The 17,409-nt window shown below is 42.7% G+C and overlaps 2 protein-coding genes and 1 pseudogene across 39 annotated transcripts in view, besides 2 other annotated features; 1 reads left to right on the forward strand and 2 right to left on the reverse strand.

The window, feature by feature from the left end:
• Window positions 1,361–13,413, reverse strand: CTSK (cathepsin K). Its single transcript, NM_000396.4, has 8 exons — window positions 13,367–13,413; window positions 11,839–11,959; window positions 11,255–11,377; window positions 11,014–11,169; window positions 9,174–9,392; window positions 4,697–4,862; window positions 4,321–4,426; window positions 1,361–2,051 (listed from the first exon to the last, which is right to left on the reverse strand). The coding sequence occupies exons 2-8, from the start codon at window positions 11,956–11,958 to the stop codon at window positions 1,952–1,954; spliced, it is 990 nt and encodes a 329-aa protein (NP_000387.1). The 5' UTR covers window position 11,959; window positions 13,367–13,413; the 3' UTR covers window positions 1,361–1,951.
• Window positions 5,626–6,178, forward strand: UBE2D3P3 (ubiquitin conjugating enzyme E2 D3 pseudogene 3; annotated as a pseudogene).
• Window positions 6,706–6,850: an enhancer, noted in NCBI's record as "145 bp 1:150774101 sequence used in MPRA reporter constructs". NCBI's record gives its function as "activates a minimal TATA-containing promoter with rs149447143 allelic activity by MPRAs in C283T melanocytes and UACC903 melanoma cells {active_cell/tissue: C283T | UACC903}" and the evidence as "EXISTENCE:reporter gene assay evidence [ECO:0000049][PMID:36423637]".
• Window position 6,778: a transcriptional cis regulatory region, noted in NCBI's record as "rs149447143 or 1:150774101 MPRA-significant variant associated with a GWAS melanoma risk locus at 1q21.3". NCBI's record gives its function as "allelic transcriptional activity by MPRAs in C283T melanocytes and UACC903 melanoma cells {active_cell/tissue: C283T | UACC903}" and the evidence as "EXISTENCE:reporter gene assay evidence [ECO:0000049][PMID:36423637]".
• Window positions 14,866–17,409, reverse strand: part of ARNT (aryl hydrocarbon receptor nuclear translocator) — a 66,887-nt gene continuing 64,343 nt past the window's right edge. For all 38 annotated transcript variants that reach the window (XM_047420740.1, XM_047420734.1, XM_047420716.1 and 35 more), the window contains one exon: window positions 14,866–17,263. In XM_047420740.1, the coding sequence (XP_047276696.1) occupies window positions 17,174–17,263 (90 nt within the window). In that variant the 3' untranslated portion in view covers window positions 14,866–17,173. The remainder of the gene's footprint in view (window positions 17,264–17,409) is intronic.

A 17,409-nucleotide genomic window follows, 5' to 3' on the forward strand; every position in this document is an offset into this window, starting at 1 on the left:
CAAGTGATTCTCCTGCCTCAGCCTCCCAAGTAGCTGGGATTACAGGGGCCCGCCACCACGCCCGGCTAATTTTTGTATTTTAGTAAAGACAGGGTTTCACCATGTTGGCCAGGCTGGTCTCAAACTCCTGACCTCAGGCAATCCGCCTGCCTCAGCCTCTCAGAGTGTTGGGATTACAGGCGTGAGCTAAGGCGCCCGGCCCTAATTTTTTGTTGTTCTTTCTTGTGCTGTGGTGTCATAACCACTGCCTAATTCAAGGTCAGGAAGATTTACCCCTGTGTTTTCTAAGAGTTTTAGCTCTTACCTTTAGGTTTTTAGCCATTTTGAATTAATTTTTTATATGAGGTGGAGTAGTGTTCCAACTTCATTCTTCTCCATGTTGTTATTCAGTTGTCCAGCATGACTTTTTGAAAAGACTATTCTTTCCCACCTTGAATTGTCTTGGCACCCCATGTCAATTGAATGTGGTTTATTTCTACACCCTTAATTCTATTCCATTGATCTGTATGCCTTGACTACTATTGGTTTGAAGTTAAGTTTTGAAATTGAGAAGTGCAAGTCCTCCAACTTTGTTCTTTTTCAAGGTTGTTTTGGCTATTCTGAAGCCCTTGAATGTCCATATGAATCTTAGAGCCAGCTTGCCAATTTCTGCAAGAAAGCCAGCTGAGATTTTAATACAAATTGTGTTAATTCTGTAGATCAATTTGGAGATTATTGCCATATTAACAACAGTGTCATGCTGGGTGCAGTGGCCCACACCTATAATTCCAGCACTTTGGGAGGCCGAGGCGGCCAACATAGGGAGACAAGCTGGTCTCAAACTGCTGGGCTCAGGCGATCCTCTCACCTCGGCCTCCCACAAAATAATTTTTAAAAAATCAGCTAAGCATGGTGGTGTTCACCGTAGTCCAAGCTACTTAGGAGACTGAGGTGGGAAGAACTCTTGAGCCCAGGAGATCAAGGCTGCAGTGAGCTATGAGTGCCACTGACTCCAGCCTGGGCAACAGAGGGAGACCCTGACGAAAGAGAGAGAAAGACAGAGCGAGAGAGAGAGAAAAGAAAAAATAACCTTAAAATGTTTTTCAAGACCCAAGTTTCCATGTCACTTAATTTAGTCTCCCCTCAGGCAGATTAAACACTGAGATCTCCTTATATCCACTTAATCCCAGAAATGTAGTACAGTTCTTGGCACAGAGTAAGAACTCAATATATATTGGCTGAAGGAATGAACAAATAAATGAATTGGGATGAAATGTTTATGTGACAGTCTCTACAACCAGACTGTGAGCGCATCAAGTACATAGAAGATGTTCTATTCATCTTTTTTCCTCCAGCACCTAACACAGTATCCAACACAAAATGAATGTGTACTAGATGCTATTTATTAAACTGTAGACAGGAGATAAATACTTTATTTCAAAAGTGCAAAGAAGGGAAGACAAATCACATTTCTTTTTATCATGTAAACTTGTACCAAAGACTTATGAATAGATTTATGAATTGGAGTAGAAAACATAGACATTTCTACCTTGAGGATATAGAAGGGAACTTAGGAAGTGAGAAGTCAGATTACCCTAGTCCTCTAGGGTGCTTAAAGCTAACTAGTCCCGTGAATGAGAATCTAACCTATGTGAAAATCTCCAGCCTGTACCTGTACAGCATCAGCCCTGGGACAACACAGTCAGGGGCAGGCTGTAGTCACATCTCTTAGCCTAAGAGTACACAGCTGTCAGGGAAAGTCCTGATGGCCACAGTGAAAAAGGTCATGGGTGGAGAGAAGCAAAGTAGGAAGGATCATTTGAAGCACAAACAAATGGGGAAACTGAACAGACAATCTCAGTATCACCACATCTGCTTCAAAAATAGCACACCAACTCCCTTCCAAAGTGCATCGTTACACTGCACCATCGTGGAAGAAATGGAAGAGCAGGATGGATTTGGCTGGCTGGAGTCACATCTTGGGGAAGCTGGCCAGGTTGGCAATGCCACAGGCGTTGTTCTTATTTCGAGCCATGAGGATATATCCTTTGTTTCCCCAGTTTTCTCCCCAGCTGTAAGACCAATCAAGAAAAATACTTAGTACTCTCAGTTTATTTATTCATTAAAATATTTACTGAGTATTGTGCGAGGTACTGATGGTACACAAAAATGAATATGATGTTTTTTAACTTTAAAGAGTTTAAAGTCAAGAAATAGGGAGAAGGCATAATACTGTAGGTATCAAAGGAGGGAAAGATTCCTTCTGATCAAGAGAATCTTAGAGGCTTGATGTAAGAGGTGGCATTTGAGCTGAGCCAAAAGGCTAAGTAGAATTTCGACCTGTGGGAAGGGGATGCCAGTGGAAGGGTGTGAAATGAACAACAGAGGCAGGAAAGTGTGGGGCACTGTTAGGATCATGTAGCTGAAAAGCAGTGTGCCTAACAGGGTGTAGTGGGAGAGATGTCTGGAAAGGCAGATTGAGATCAGGTTGAATTACCTTTACTGCAAGGTTAAAAAGCTTCACCTTTACTCTGTGACCCATCATCGTGAGGAGCCAGTGAGGGATTTTGAGTGGGAGAGTGATATGATCAGAGCTGTATTTGGGGAATATTAATCTTGAAAATGTGAGTTTAGAGCATAAGAAAGAGGCTGAAGCTGGTGATCTTGATTTGGGAGTAAACCCCATAGGAGAGATGGATGAAACTATGAGAGTGGATGAGATTACTAAGGAAATGAGTAGCGAGACTAGAAGACAAGAGAGACGACGTGAGAAAGAGGAGAGAGGAGAGATTGTCTGTTTATCTTCCTGAATTGTTTTCAGTCCTCTTTCCCCAACCAGCAACTTCTCTAATTACCCAACACATTTTATTTAAAACCTGTACCCTCCCCCACTCTCCCCTTCTCCAGGGGCCCCCAGTGTTCCTGATCCTGCCCGGGTGTGTCCTTTCTTCCTCCCAGCTCTCTTGGAAGCTATCTCCACACATGGTACCTGATCATGAAAGAACAGGGTAAGTGCTTGGACCTGGGAGTCAAGAGAAGGGACAACACAGGACAGAAGCTGTGGGAGACTTGGGAAGATGCTCAGGTTCACCTTGAGTTGGAACTGTGATATAAAAAGTTGCTTCAGGTTTGAACAACACCACTGCGTGAGTCTGTCAGCGACCCAGAGTCTAGGGCTCCTGCTCCTTGGAGGGCACTAAGGACAGGAGATTTAGCCAGTGCTGCTGCCAGGTTAATGGTGATCAGCCAGGAAAGGAAAACTATAATTGTTATCAATCTGCCCCTCCCCAAAAGTCACAAGGTGCTAAAGAGAAATGGGAAGCAAGGTACCCTGGAGTTTTCTTTGTTCCCCAACATAGGAAAGTAAACACTAACTTTTTTTGTTTATATCTTATTTCTAAAAAATGTTTCTCTTCACAATCTTTGGCAAGTTCTTATATACGTGTATCTTAAGTGTATTTTGAAGGAAAAAAACTGTTCAAAGGAATATTAAACCTTTACGCTGTTCCCCTACTGTTAAAGACAGATTGCTAATGGAAACCATCTAAGAAACTGATCACATTAGAGACAAAAGAAAGTAAAAATACGTAATTCCAAAGCTCCTGCTGGTTCTTTGTACTGCTTTATCTCATGGTTAGTTAGGTCTGTCTTATTGGGCTCTGAGCTCACTGAAGGTGTCATCTGCTCGTTGGTTTATGTATGTCACTAAGCACCTTGCACACAGGGAGCATCTGCCCAGCACATAATTGAGCACTATTGTCTGGCGGATATGGTTTGGATGTGTGTCCCCTCCCAGTCTCATGCTGAAATGTGATCCCCAATGTGGGAGGTGGGGCATAGTGGGAGGTGTTTGGGTTATGAGAGTGGATTCCTCATGAATGGCTTGGTGCCATCGCCTTGGTGATGAGTGAGTTCTCACTCTATTAGTTCATGCAAGAGCTGGTTCTTTAAAGAGTCGGCACCTCCCTCTCTCTCTTGCTCCCTCTCTCACTATGTGACATGCCTGCTCCCTCTTTTGCCTTCTGCCATGAGTAAAAGCTCTGAGGCCTCATCAGAGGCTGAGCAGATACTAGTGCCACGCTTTGTATAGCCAAACAAACCTCGTTTCTTTATAAATTACCCAGTCTCGGGTATTCTTTTGTGGCAATGCAAAATGGACTAACACACTGGCCATTAAGTGTCAGACTGAGAATTAAGAGCCTCTGACTGAGAAGATAGAAGTGAGAACTCTGAGATAATTTTTTCTTGATTTGGGACAGAGAAAGGAATATCGGGAAGCTGGAGGTGAGGTTGAGTGTTAAAAGGGTGACTGAATAACAAAAGTAGTGTTCCCATCATTACCTGTTTTTAATTATCCAGTGCTTGTTTCCCTTCTGGATTCCATATCCCACTGCCAAAACTGCATGGTTCAGATTATCGCTATTGCAGCTTTCATCATAATACACACCTAGAATACAAACTACCAGCGTGAGGCTCTATGCAATCCAAGGGTCACCCTGTGGGATCTCCCAGTCTAGGAGACTGTTTGAAGAATTCCATCCGTGTCAGGAGGGTTTACCACAGAGATGCTGCTCCATACTGCAGCAGTTGTTAATTTCTCTCTGGCCACCTCCATGTGAATACAAAAACTAAGTACTGAAAATACCCAAGGTCCTTCGAGAAACCATCAAGTTTGTATCATAAAAGACAGTGCTGTATAGGATCAGCAGCTTCTTACCTTTGCTGTAAAACTGGAAGGAGGTCAGGCTTGCATCAATGGCCACAGAGACAGGTCCCACTCGGGCCACTGCCCTCTTCAGGGCTTTCTCATTCCCCTCGGGGATCTCTCTGTACCCTCTGCATTTAGCTGCCTTGCCTGTTGGGTTGTACATACAACTCTCTTCCTGGAAGAAACAAGATTGTAATAGGACTAGGACAAAGCAATAGGCAATGAGTCAGTGAGTAAGAAACTCAACCAATATTTTGAGTGATGCCAGTGAACTAACAGAGGCAGCAGTCTAGGGTTTCTAGAGAGGGTCTGTTCTTCCTCAGAAAAACGAATATGAAAAGAGGATTCCCGCCTTCCACCACACATAAAAACCAACTACAGGCCAGGTGCGGTGGCTCATGCCTGTAATCCCAGCACTTTGGGAGGCTGAGGAGGGTGGATCACGAGGTCAGGAGATCGAGACCATCCTGGCTAACACAGTGAAACCCTGTCTCTACTAAAAATGCAAAAAAATTAGCCAGGCGTGGTAGCGGGCGCCTGTAGTCCCAGCTACTGGGGAGGCTGAGGCAGGAGAATGGCGTGAACCTGGGAGGCAGACCTTGTAGTGAGCCAAGATCGCGCCATTGCACTCCAGCCTGGGCGAGAGCGAGACTCCATCTCAAAAAAAAAAAAAATCAACTACAGGTGTTTTAAGACATAAATGTGGGAGGAAAACAGTAGGGAAAGATTTCTGAAATAAGATTTTTTTAAAAAGCATAAACCATCTTCTGGCCACATAGTATGTATTAGCCTCAGGGGGCAGGAAGGCACCAGCTGCTGTGTGGGTAGGAGGCCAAGGCCAAGGCTTAGCTAGAGGGAAGACCTGGGCCCTCTGCACCTATATCAGGGGAACTGGTGTGATCCTTGTGCTCTCATCAAAGACAAAATATAAAAGTACATAACAAGACACTAAAATAGATTAAAGAACTTAGCAATTTAGCCTATGACTTCCAACACTATATTTTACAGGTAGTTAGCAATGTTTCATTGGCAAGCCACAATTATGGAATCGAATAATAGCCCATGTTAAGGTGGTGTATTCTTTTCAGCAATTCATTTTCCTACAGACTACCCCTTCAGAACCCTAAGGTTGCATCCACAAGAACTTATTATCTACTACTCAGCAGGCTGAGGCAGGAGGATTGTTTGTGCCCAGGAGTTTGAGCCTTTAGTGTACTGTGATCATGCTGTGAATAGCCACTCTACTCCAGCCTGTGCAAGATAGTGAGATACCCTCTAAAAAAATACATTATCTAACATTATCTAAATATTAACAGCAATAGCAGCATTTGATATGCCATTTTAAGATTACAGTGGTCTACTGCCTTGATATTTTTCAAGATGCCTTTGTTTCTGCCATGTGCTCCAAATCCCTGATGCCTCCTGGTGCCAAAAATTACACAGAATTACAAGTGAAACAGAATATCTTGGAAATTGACTCAAAAAGATATTATGTGATGATACTTTAAAGTCAGAATAACCTGCATTATGCTGGAACAAACTTATAATACCATCCCTTTAAAATGTTATCTGGCCGCCCTATCAGATCTCTTCTTTTTTATCTTTTTATTTTTTGAGACAGAGTCTCTGTTACCCAGGCTGGAGTGCAATGGCATGATCTTGGCTCACTGCAACCTCTGCCTCCTGAGTTCGAGCAATTCTCCTGCCTCAGCCTGCTGGGATTACAAGCGTGCGCAATCACACCTGGCTAATTTTTGTATTTTTAGTAGAGATGGGGTTTCACCATGTTATCCCAGCTGGTCTCAAACTCCTGACCTCAAGTGATCTGCCTGCCTCAGCCTCCCAAACTACTGGGATTATAGGTGTGAGCCACCGTACCTGGCCACATCTCTTCTTTTTTAAATTTTATTTTTTCTTACCTTTCTCCATTCATAAACGAATAAAACACATTACAAAAATTGCAAAGGAAAATTAATCATTTTACTAATTTTACTATATTAAAATTAACTTTTTTTTTTTTTTGAAACGCAGTCTTGCTCAGTTGCCCAGGCTGGAGTGCAGTGGTGCAATCTCGGCTCACTGCAAGCTCCACCTCCCGGGTTCACGCCATTCTCCTGCCTCAGCCTCCCGAGTAGCTGGAACTACAGGCACCTGCCACCACGCCCAGCTAATTTTTTTGTATTTTTAGTAGAGACAGGGTTTCACCATGTTAGCCAGGATGGTCTTGATCTCCTGACCTTGTGATCCACCCATCTCAGCCTCCCAAAGTGCTGGGATTACAAGCGTGAGCCACCGCGCCAGGCCTATTAAAATTAACTTTTCTAGATTGAAAGACATCATAAAAAGAATGAAAAGACAAACCTCAACTTTTAAATACATAGTATTGTATCCAAATATTCTCTTTAAACTTTTAAGAATCGCTAAGAAAGAGAAAAAACAATCCAATTAAAAATGAGTAAGGGGTGGGGCATGGTGGCTCACACCTGTAATCCCAGCACTTTGGGAGGCCGAGGCGGGCGGACCACCTGAGGTCAGGGGTTCAAGACCAGCCTGGCCAACATGGTGAAACCCTGTCTGTACTAAAAATACAAAAACTAGCCGGGCGTGGTTGCGGGTGCCTATAATCCCAGCTACTCAGGAGGCTGAGGCAGGAGAATTGCTTGAATCCAGGAGGTGGAGGTTGCAGTGAGCCAAGATCGCGCCACTGCACTCAAGCCTAGGTGACAAAAGCAAAACTCCATTTCAAAAAAAAAAAAAAAAGGGTAGGCCAGGCATGGTGGCTTACATCTATAATCCCAGCACTTTGGGAGGTGGGAGGATTGCTTGAGCCTAGGAGTTTGAGACTAGCCTTGGCAACATAGCGAGACAATGTCTCTACCAAAAAAAACGGTTGTTGTTTTTGGGGACAGGGTCTCACTCTGTCACCCAGGCTAGAGAGCAGTGACATGATCACAGCTCACAGCAGCCTTGAACTCCCAGGCTCAAGTTGTCCTCCCAACCAGCCTCCTGAGTAGCTAGAACTATGCACGCCATCATACCTGGCTACTTTTAAAAATTTTTTCTGTAGAGATGAGGTCTTGCTATGTTGTACCAGGCTGATCTGGAACTCCTGGGCTTAAGTGATCCTCCCACCTCAGCCTCCCAAAGTGCTGGGATTACAGGCATGAGCCACCATGCCTAGCCTCTACAAAAAAAAATTTCAAAGGTTTTTTGAAATTGGTGGGCATGATGGCATGCACCTATATCCTAGCTATTTGGGAGGCTGAGGCGAGAGGATTGCTTGAGCCCAGGAAGTGGAGGCTGCAGTGAGCTATGACTATATCACCACACTCCAGCCTGGGCAACAGAGTAAGACCCTATTTCAAAAAAATAAAAAGAAAAACAAATGAGCAAGAGATAAAAACAGTTAATTCACTGAAGAAGAAATGCAAATGGCCAGATAAACATACTGATAAAAAGGTGATTGAAGGGGATTTCTTACACATTGCAGGTATAAATTTTTCCAAATATTTTGGCAAACAATTTGACATTGTGTAGTAAAGTTGAAGACAGACATACCCTAAGACCCAGACAATTCAGTTCCAAGGCATTATATCCTAGTAAGAAATTCTTGCACATGTGCATGGGAGATATACCTAGGAATGTTTGCAGAAGATAAACATCCCTGGTAGATACATCTTACATTGTTACATACTAGTGGTATGAATTATACTGTCTTATCTCCTTAAGTGTCCATTTCCTCACCTATACATTCAAGATAAGTCTACCTAACAGAGTTGTTATGAGATTAAATGAAAAAAAGAAAAAGAAAAAATGCACTAAGGACACGGCTTAGAACACAGTAGCCATCATTTTTATTCTCAAACTTGCTGTCCCTGTTTCAGAGGTTTCTGTTGTGAAGGCCCTACATTATATTGTCTATCAGACCCAGCCCTATGTGTATAAAAAACCCCTCAGGTTGCCTCCCTTTCAGATATGATTTCCTTCCTATGACTAGAGGATCATGCAGGAGGAACTGAGTTAATCCCTTATCTCTTATATGAAGCAACTTGTTTTTTCTCTCATTTTATAGATGTTAGCATGTAAACTTACATAATTTGCTGAAATGTTCTGAAAACTCACACTGAGATCATATAAAATAAAGCCACACAATTTGTGAAAATAGCATGGTGGGTTTGTGGGTTTGTTGTGGGAGTGAGGAATTGAGCAGAGGGTTATAGAACCCAGCTCGGAAGTCTATGGGGTAGGTAGCCTAGCCTCTGTTTTCTCTCCATGGCAGAGATGCAAATAGGAGCTATAGTAGCTTAAGCTCCCTAAATTCCCCCAGATTGTGGAAATCTTCTTGGCCTTCTGTGGGAAATTATTCCATCAAGAAAGCAGGATAGGATAACAGAAAACAGTATTTCTGGAATTGTTTCCAGTACAAAACATCATGCTGGGGAAGGAGGAGCCAACAGAGCTGTATAATTGTGTGGAGCAATCTCACCTGTCCCACATATGGGTAGGCATCTTCAGAGTCAATACCCCGGTTCTTCTGCACATATTGGAAGGCATTGGTCATGTAGCCCCCTCCACAGCCATCATTCTCAGACACACAATCCACTAGGTTCTGGGGACTCAGATTTAAGAGTTTGCCAGTTTTCTTCTTGAGTTGGCCCTCCAGGGCACCCACAGAGCTAAAAGCCCAACAGGAACCACACTGACCCTGAAAGGCATACAGAGAAACTATCAATCTTTGCTGTTTACATTTTCTATATCTTCTCTCTACCTGCCTGAAGAAATTCCATGTGTTCTAAAAATTTCAGCACAAATGTTGTCATTGTTGTGAGTCTTCCTCTTCCGCTTAATATCTGTTGCACTGTTCTACTGCTATTGATTTTTGCTACCATTTTTACTATTAGCTACAGTAAAGCAGAGCACAGTACCAGCTGTGGAGGCATTTGTCCTGGGTGCTAACCCTGACTTTGCCACCCAGTAGCTATGTGACCCCGGGTAAGTTACTAAATTTGCCTGTGTCTCAGTTTCTCTATGCATAAAATATTGTTATAAGGATTAAATATTTAACTCATGTAAAGAGTTAAGAAGTTCCTGACAAACAATAAAATCTCAAAAAGTATTAGCTATTATTGTTTGTGCAGCTAGATTGTAGATTTTTCTTTCTTTCCTGTTCTATTTTTTTAGATTGAGATTTCCTGAGGACACAGGTTGTGTCTTAGTCATCTTGAGTCTCTGCTGCCTAACACTGCATCTGGTAGGTTCTGGGGGTCAAAAAGTGTTTGTTAAATGAACGTTAAATCAATTGTTTATCTTGCTGATACAATCCTGTGTTGTTTGGGTTGTGAAAAAACTGACATTCTCATGCTAGTAAGAATGTAAGATTGCAAAAACTTTTTTGGGCTGGGCATGGTGGCTCATGTCTGTAATCCTAGCACTTTGGGAGGCCGAAGCGGGCAGATTGCTTGAGCCCAGGAATTTGAGACCAGCCTGGGTAGCATGGCAAAACTCTGTCTCTACAAAAAATTTTTTAAAATTAGCTGGGTGTGGTGGCATGTGCTTCTAATCCCAGCTACTAGGGAGGCTGAGGTTGGAGAATCACTTGAGCCTGAGACGTTGAGGCTGCAGTGAGCCATGATTGCGCCACTGGACTCCAGCCTGGGTGACAGAGACGCTGTCTCAAAAAAAAAAAAAAAATTTGGGGGGGGGGAAAGGATTATTTGTGACCTAACAATTCCAATTTTAGGACTTATTTTGCATAAATATTTGTACATGTGCACAAAAACATATGCACAAGGGTGCTTATTGCAACACTATTTGTAATAAAGAAAAACCAGGCCGCGATGGCTCATGACTCTAATCCCAGCACTTTGGGAGGCTGAGGCAGGTGGATCACCTGAGGTCAGTTCAAGACCAGCCTGGCCAACATGGTGAAAACGCATCTCTATAAAAATAGAAAAATTAGCCAGGCGTAGTGGCGCGTGCCTGTAATCTCAGCTACTCAGGAGGCTGAGGCAGGAGAATCGCTTGAACCCGGGAGGTGTAGGTTGCAGTGAGCCAAGATTGCACCACTGCACTCCATCCTGGGCGACAGAGTGAGACTCTATCTCAAAAAAAAAAAAAAAAAAAAAAAAAGGAAAAGAAAAAGAAAAACCAGAAACAACCCAAATGTACAGAAACAAATGAGGTTAAATAACAGAATGGGAATGGGGAGATGTACCTTAATTCCTTGCCCTCTTTTCCTGGTGCCCTTTCACCTCAAGAACAAAGCAGCAGAAAAAGGAAAAGGTCATGCCAGATTACATATGCACACCCAGAAGAAAGGAGAGTACCTGATTTTTGACAGGAGTAACATATCCTTTCTTTCGATAGTCGACAGAGTCTGGGGCTCTACCTTCCCATTCTGGGATATAAAGGGTGTCATTACTGCGGGAATGAGACAGGGGTACTTTGAGTCCAGTCATCTTCTGAACCACCTCTTCACTGGTCTAAGACAAAGAAGAAAGAGGCCAGGCATCAGCAGGGAACTAAAGCAAATGGTGCAGGTGGGACAGGAGCTGAAGCTATACTTGCCATGTCCCCCAGGTGGTTCATAGCCAGTTCATATGTATGGACACCAAGAGAAGCCTCAAGGTTATGGATGGAAATATACTTCAGGTTTTTTTCCCAAATTAAACGCCGAGAGATTTCATCCACCTAAACAAAGCATAGTCAGTACTTGTATAGACTGTCTACAGTTACATATGTAATATTGTGAAGGGTTTTAGGAGAATAAAGGAAACTCACAATCATAAAAGTTTACAGTTTAGTTGGGGAACTAACCATGGAATTAAGAGCCTGCAAGAAGAGATAATATGTAAACAAATACAACACAAAGCTCTGGAGAGACAGAAAAATTGCTTATAGATTAACAGCATTAATCTTAGAACTCTTCCCAAAAGAGAAATGTAACACACTTATAAAGCAAAGGAAGGATACAGTTTGACAGAGGATGATTTGAAGCATAGGAATGAAAACCGTATGTTAACATGAGTTAGGGAAGAGGGACTGATTTGCTTGGAATAAAGCATTTGGATTGAAGAAGGGAGTCTGGAAGCTAAGATGAGAGAGCTCAGGTCTCAGCCTTCCTGCCATGCCCCCTCCAGGACCCCAGGCACCTTGTTGTTATATTGCTTCCTGTGGGTCTTCTTCCATAGCTCCCAGTGGGTGTCCAGTATCTCCTCAGGGTACAGAGCAAAGCTCACCACAGGTAGCAGCAGAACCTTGAGCCCCCACATCCTGCAGAAGAATGTAGTTAGGGAAAACTCTTCCATTTGGCAGGGAAACAGAGGAAAACTAGGCTTTATGAGGAAGAGAAAGGTAGACGGAAAAAGGGTGATAAAACAATGATAGTCAGGAGGGGCCTGTGTTTAGATAGGATGCTGGTACATCTGGTTCCAAGGACTTTGATCTAGGGGGATTTAGCCATTTCTCTCTTTCTCTCTCTCTCTCTCTCTCGGGAGATTTAGGCAACACACACTCTCTCTGTTTCTCTCTCTGTCTCTCTCTCTCTCACACACACACACACACACACACACACACACACACACACACACACGTACACAACCAGAAATGGGGGATAGAAACTGGACAATCAGAATGGGCTCAGTGCGTTTCCTCCAGGGTCCCTAGCAGGCTTGGAGACAGACAAATAGCAAGGTGGTAGTGGGGTTCAGAATACACAAAGGAGAGATTTCCGTCTAAGTTTTGCCTCCTGATCATTTCTTCGAGGCGTTCTTCTCTTTCGTGCCTAAATTCTGGTACTTTCCCAGATCTTGTCAGAAGAGGACAAGGGAAAATAGGACAATGTTTCCTGTTTTCTGAGACATTGTATATCTCCTCATTCTCCTTATGCATTTCTTCTTCCTTTTTCTCTCCCTTCCCTCCTTAGGCAGGAAACTGCCCTAATCTTAACCAGATGCTGCGGGCAAGGTTTTTTATTTTTCCCCTAACAACAAAAACCCACTGTGGCTGCCGCAAAGGACAAGAAGCCTCAGATCCAAGGTTTGTTAGAAGAATGTTCAGACTGAAAAGCAATGTTCTATGATGATGAAATTCACAGCTTTTCATAAGTTTACTCTAGTTAGCTTCACTCATTTCTTGCATTGGCTTTCTTAATTACAAATCCTCCATTTTAAGAACAATTTGCAGCCTGCAGCATGACATATGGCTTACACAATTGCTTATAGTCCATTTACATGTAATTTTGCAAACTGGCAAAATGTCCAGTAGGACATTTAAAAACTAGAGTGTTAAGGGCTTTGAGATGTCTCAGTGAACAGGAAGCACTGAGCTACTACCTCCCCATACCACTCTCCTCCTCCTCACTAAGGAGTTAACCGTTTTGATCCTTGTTGGCCAAAGTAGAAAACACTGCAGAAAGGCCACTCTTGAAGGATGGGGAAATGATTCCCTATATACTTTGCTTTTACTAACAATCATGTATGTATATATATAAATCATACAAGGAATTCTACAGATTTCCAGGCAGATTTTATTTAGCCAGGGAATGACCTAAGAAGTGCATCTCTGTTTTCATCTGCAGAGGCTAAAAGTTTATTGTGATCCTCAAGTCACTACATCCCTAATACTCAGAGAATTGACAGGAATGAAAAGCTAAAAGATCTAGGAAGTTGCAAACGTTACCTGCTGATGGAAATCTGTTGTCTGGCTTCGTTTCGGCAGCAAAGTGTGGGCACACCATCAGGGGTGCTAGATTTATTCCATCGGGATTGCGGAAGTCAGCTCCAGTGATCGGCTGGAAAATTTGGGTAAGAGGAGGAGGCGGGGATAGAAATGCTGAGAGAAGGAAGGGTAGGGAGGAGGGAAGGAGGCAGTGGATTTGCAGTGTTTCTGTGTGTATGCAGCATGTGTGCCAGGGTAGGGAATTACTAGCTATTTAGTCTCACAAGACTGTCTTTGGTGGCAAATAACAAGACCTCAATATCTATTGACTCAAATAGGAGCTTACTTTCTCTTTTGGTGAGTAAAAGGAAGGACACAGCCCTAGTCTCTCCCATCCTTCTTCTTCAATATCTTTATTTTAATATTGGGGGATTATATCTTTTCCTACCCCTTTCCTGTTAGGATTTACCTCTCCAACATTGAAACCTATTTTCATATTTGTGTCTGACTCTCACCTCTGGGATGCGGTAATGAACATAAAAGGCTATAAAAGAATAATGTAATGGAAGCCATAGGCTCCAGAATTCTTTGTATTTTTATAAGCTTGTTGGTTGCAAGTTGTCATTACTTCCAGGCAGAATAGTTTTCCCAGCCTAATGTGGTTTTGCTGAAGGAGGATATGCCCAGAAAGTCCAGATGAAACTGTCTTTAAAAGTAACCAAAAACAGCAGTCCTGGTTATTTATGACAGCACTTGAATCAATGCCGTAAGTTCTGATGGACTCACATGTGACTCTGTTGCTAAAACTCTCAGGTGGTGGGATGCCCGATAAACATCATCTGTCTCAATTAAAATCCCCAATCTAGGACAAGTCACATGAGCTTCTCCAAATGCTTCCCCAACATCCAAGCATGTGACAGATCATAAGAATCTAGCTGATTCCTCAAACCACACCCCAAACTTCATTTTCTTCCATAAACAGATGTGGGGAAGGAGAAAAAAAGGCTTCTTGGAATAGAAAGGATAATAAATGGGATCTGTAATAGACTCAGTTTCTAGCTGGATTCCATGCATAAACCCTCAAAAATACAGGCTTATGCCTCTGGATTTTAAGAGCTGCTAACAGGCTAGGCGCAGTGGTTCACGCCTGTAATCCCAGGCCTTTGGGAGGCCAAAGCATGTGGATCACCTAAGGTCAGGAGTTCGAGACTAGCCTGGCCAACATATAGTGAAACCCCATCTCTACTAAAAAAAAAAAACACAAAAATTAGCTGGGCATGGTGGCACACACCTGTAGTGCCAGCTACTTGGGAAGCTGAGGCAGGAGAATTGCTTGAACCCAAGGGGCAGAGGTTGCAGTGAGCCAAGATCGTGCCACTGCACTCCAGCCTGGGTAACAGAGCGAGACTCCATCTCTCACACACACACACACACACACACACAAAAAAAAAAAAAAAAAAAAAAGTTGCTAATGAACCAACATAGTCTCCTAGAGGGAAACCAGGTCCAGACTTGAACAGTTTAAATTTCACTCATTTTAATCCAGAAAAGGACATACTGGGGGAAGGCATCCAGATGTGCCCTAGTGGTTTTCAAGTCCCGACTCTTCCCCTCTCTCCCAAGAACCCAGGCAACGCCCACCCCAAAACCCCCACCTCATGGTCAGAGCATTCCTGCTGATGTTACTCAGAATGTGTCAGGATCAGGAGGACAAGTGAGGGGGGAGGCGTGCAATGTGATCAGAACCCTATGATTTCTGATTCCTGAAATTAAAGACACAATGTGCCTTATGTTTGTATGTCTGGAGCTTAAACTATAGATTCCTCTGGTTGTGGGTGCCTGTTGTTTATGAACTGGAAAGGAATGATAAAGCCGCAATCAAGATCACACAACACAAGAAATTTTACAAAAGGAAAAAATATTTTGTTTGAAAATCTTTGCTACATGTCATTATTTTTGCCACTGTAAAGCTTAGCACAGATGCCAGCAATACAGAAATGGCCAACAAGAAAACAAAACAGTCAAAAATAAAACCCTGAAGGAAAAGCAAAAACAAAACCCCCAGAGCATCTTCTCGCTATCCTCCCCTTCCCCAAAAGCCCTATAATAACTGTACAATATTATAGTCCTGATCACATTTAAAAAGTCGATTATTAAAAAACAAGGGTTCCATTGGAAACTCAACTTTTTGGTTTCGTAAATTGTGATATAAATATATATGTATACTGTAAGTGTGCACATAGAATAAAAAAATAAACTGTCTCCTTTTTTACTCCACTACCTGGCACCAGACTGGAGACATAAGGAAGGGAAACTCAGCAAATGGACATTCCTTTGGCCTCTTCAAGGCCACCCTTGCTCCTCAGTCCCCTATGACTACATTTAATATATCTTCTCATTAATTCAGTCTTGCACTTTAGCTACTGGCCAAAGCCAATTTAAAAAAAAAAAAAAAAAAGCTGGTATCTACGACTGTTACCTGAGGAAGGTAAAGGGTGAGGGTAGTAACCTGTATCCGCATTTATATGGCTATTGTTAATTACCAAGTGACCCTGTTGAGATGGGTGTCCAGGCCCCATCTATCATACGGAATTATGATACTTGCACTCTAAAGCAAAACCCAATCTCAAGATTGGAGGGAGCAAAGAGGAAAAACCTCTTAGGGCCAGAGAGACTTAAATCTCAGTTGCTTGCTAAACTGGGTATTTTGAGTATGGGATGAAAGAGGCTACTTTGCAAGAGGGCTTCGTATTTGGTTTACACTCCAACAATGAGGATTTTCACTGGGACGGCTAATCCAAGAAGTTGAGTTTCCATGCAGAAATAACCTCTACAGAACACACATCATATGTGATTCTGACAGAAAAATGCAGCATTATCTTTATGGCCAAGTCTCGGGTTCCAGAAAGTGTTTATCTTGCCAGCCTATTTAGGTAATGTTTGCAGATCTTCCAGATAAGGTGAGAGCACCAAAAGCAGCAGTAACCCAGCTTTATCACTGAATGTGTTCGATAACAGACAATCGTATCAACAGCCGACTTTCTATATTTGCTTTACAGTTGTATATTGGCTGGGCATGGATGCAAGCGCAGCAAAGACGTTTATTTAAATATTCTTTGGCTGCAATACTAAGTGGAAAATACCTGGAAGATTTAACTCCTTAGGACTCTTTGAAAAGTACACAGAAAGACAAAGGTAAAATCGGGGACAAATTTTGCATAACTCCCTAATAGGGAGAAAGAGTGAAATACAGAAGCATGTGTGCGCACACACACACACACACACATACACACACACTCTCTCTCACTTACTCACATGTTTCTTTCCAGAGGGACTGCTCACAGGCAGCAAAAAGAGCCTATGCTCAAACTTGCTAAAGCCCCATATATACCTACAATGTTTCATGGTCCTCAAATATGAGGACATTTCTCCTCTCCTCCACTCTCTTCAGAATTTCTTTCCAAAAACAAGCCATACTATCCAAGGCAAACAGTGGATGTCAGGTTCTTCTAACCTGCCTCTTGATCTCAGCACAAATCAACACTATACAATTTCAGGTCAGGAGACATAAGGAAAGGTGTTTTAACTTCACCCAGCCTCAAATTTTCAGACAGTCCTAAAAGCCTTGGAGATTCATTCCATTTCTTCTATAAATGTTACCTTAGAGAGGCAACAGAGCAGGGGAACAGCCAGAAGGGAAAGGGGGTACATGTCAGGGGTGAGGGAAGGGAAGGGAGAGGAACTTTTATTCTGTTTACAGAAAGATTTGCTTTTTAAAAACAAACAGTGATTTTTTCTCCCCCACCCCTTATCCTCACCCCAATAGTTCTATTCTGAAAAGGGGGGAAACATAGTTAGATCAGGGAATTCTTCATTGTTGTAGCTGTTGCTCTGATCTCCCAGCATGGACAGCATCTCCTGATAAAAGAAAAAGATTAAGTTTGGGTCACACACCTTGATCTCTTACACTTACCAAGTTCTACTCCACCATTCCCCTGCACTACCATCCCTGACCCCGAGTCTTTGCTGTGCTGAGCTCTTAGCCTTCCTTACTTCCAACAACT

This window comes from Homo sapiens, chromosome 1, assembly GCF_000001405.40.
Source record: "Homo sapiens chromosome 1, GRCh38.p14 Primary Assembly".
NCBI lineage: Eukaryota > Metazoa > Chordata > Mammalia > Primates > Hominidae > Homo > Homo sapiens.

What these genes read in the sequence shown, in the direction of transcription:
- CTSK (NM_000396.4), bottom strand. Translation starts at nt 11,958, where the DNA reads ATGTGGGGGCTCAAGGTTCTGCTGCTACCTGTGGTGAGCTTTGCTCTG. An exon ending in CCTACCCATATGTGGGACAG is followed by an intron (nt 4,863 to 9,173) that starts GTGAGATTGCTC and finishes TGTTTCTTCCAG; the next exon opens with GAAGAGAGTTGTATGTACAA. An exon ending in CTTCCAGTTTTACAGCAAAG is followed by an intron (nt 4,427 to 4,696) that starts GTAAGAAGCTGC and finishes TTTGTATTCTAG; the next exon opens with GTGTGTATTATGATGAAAGC.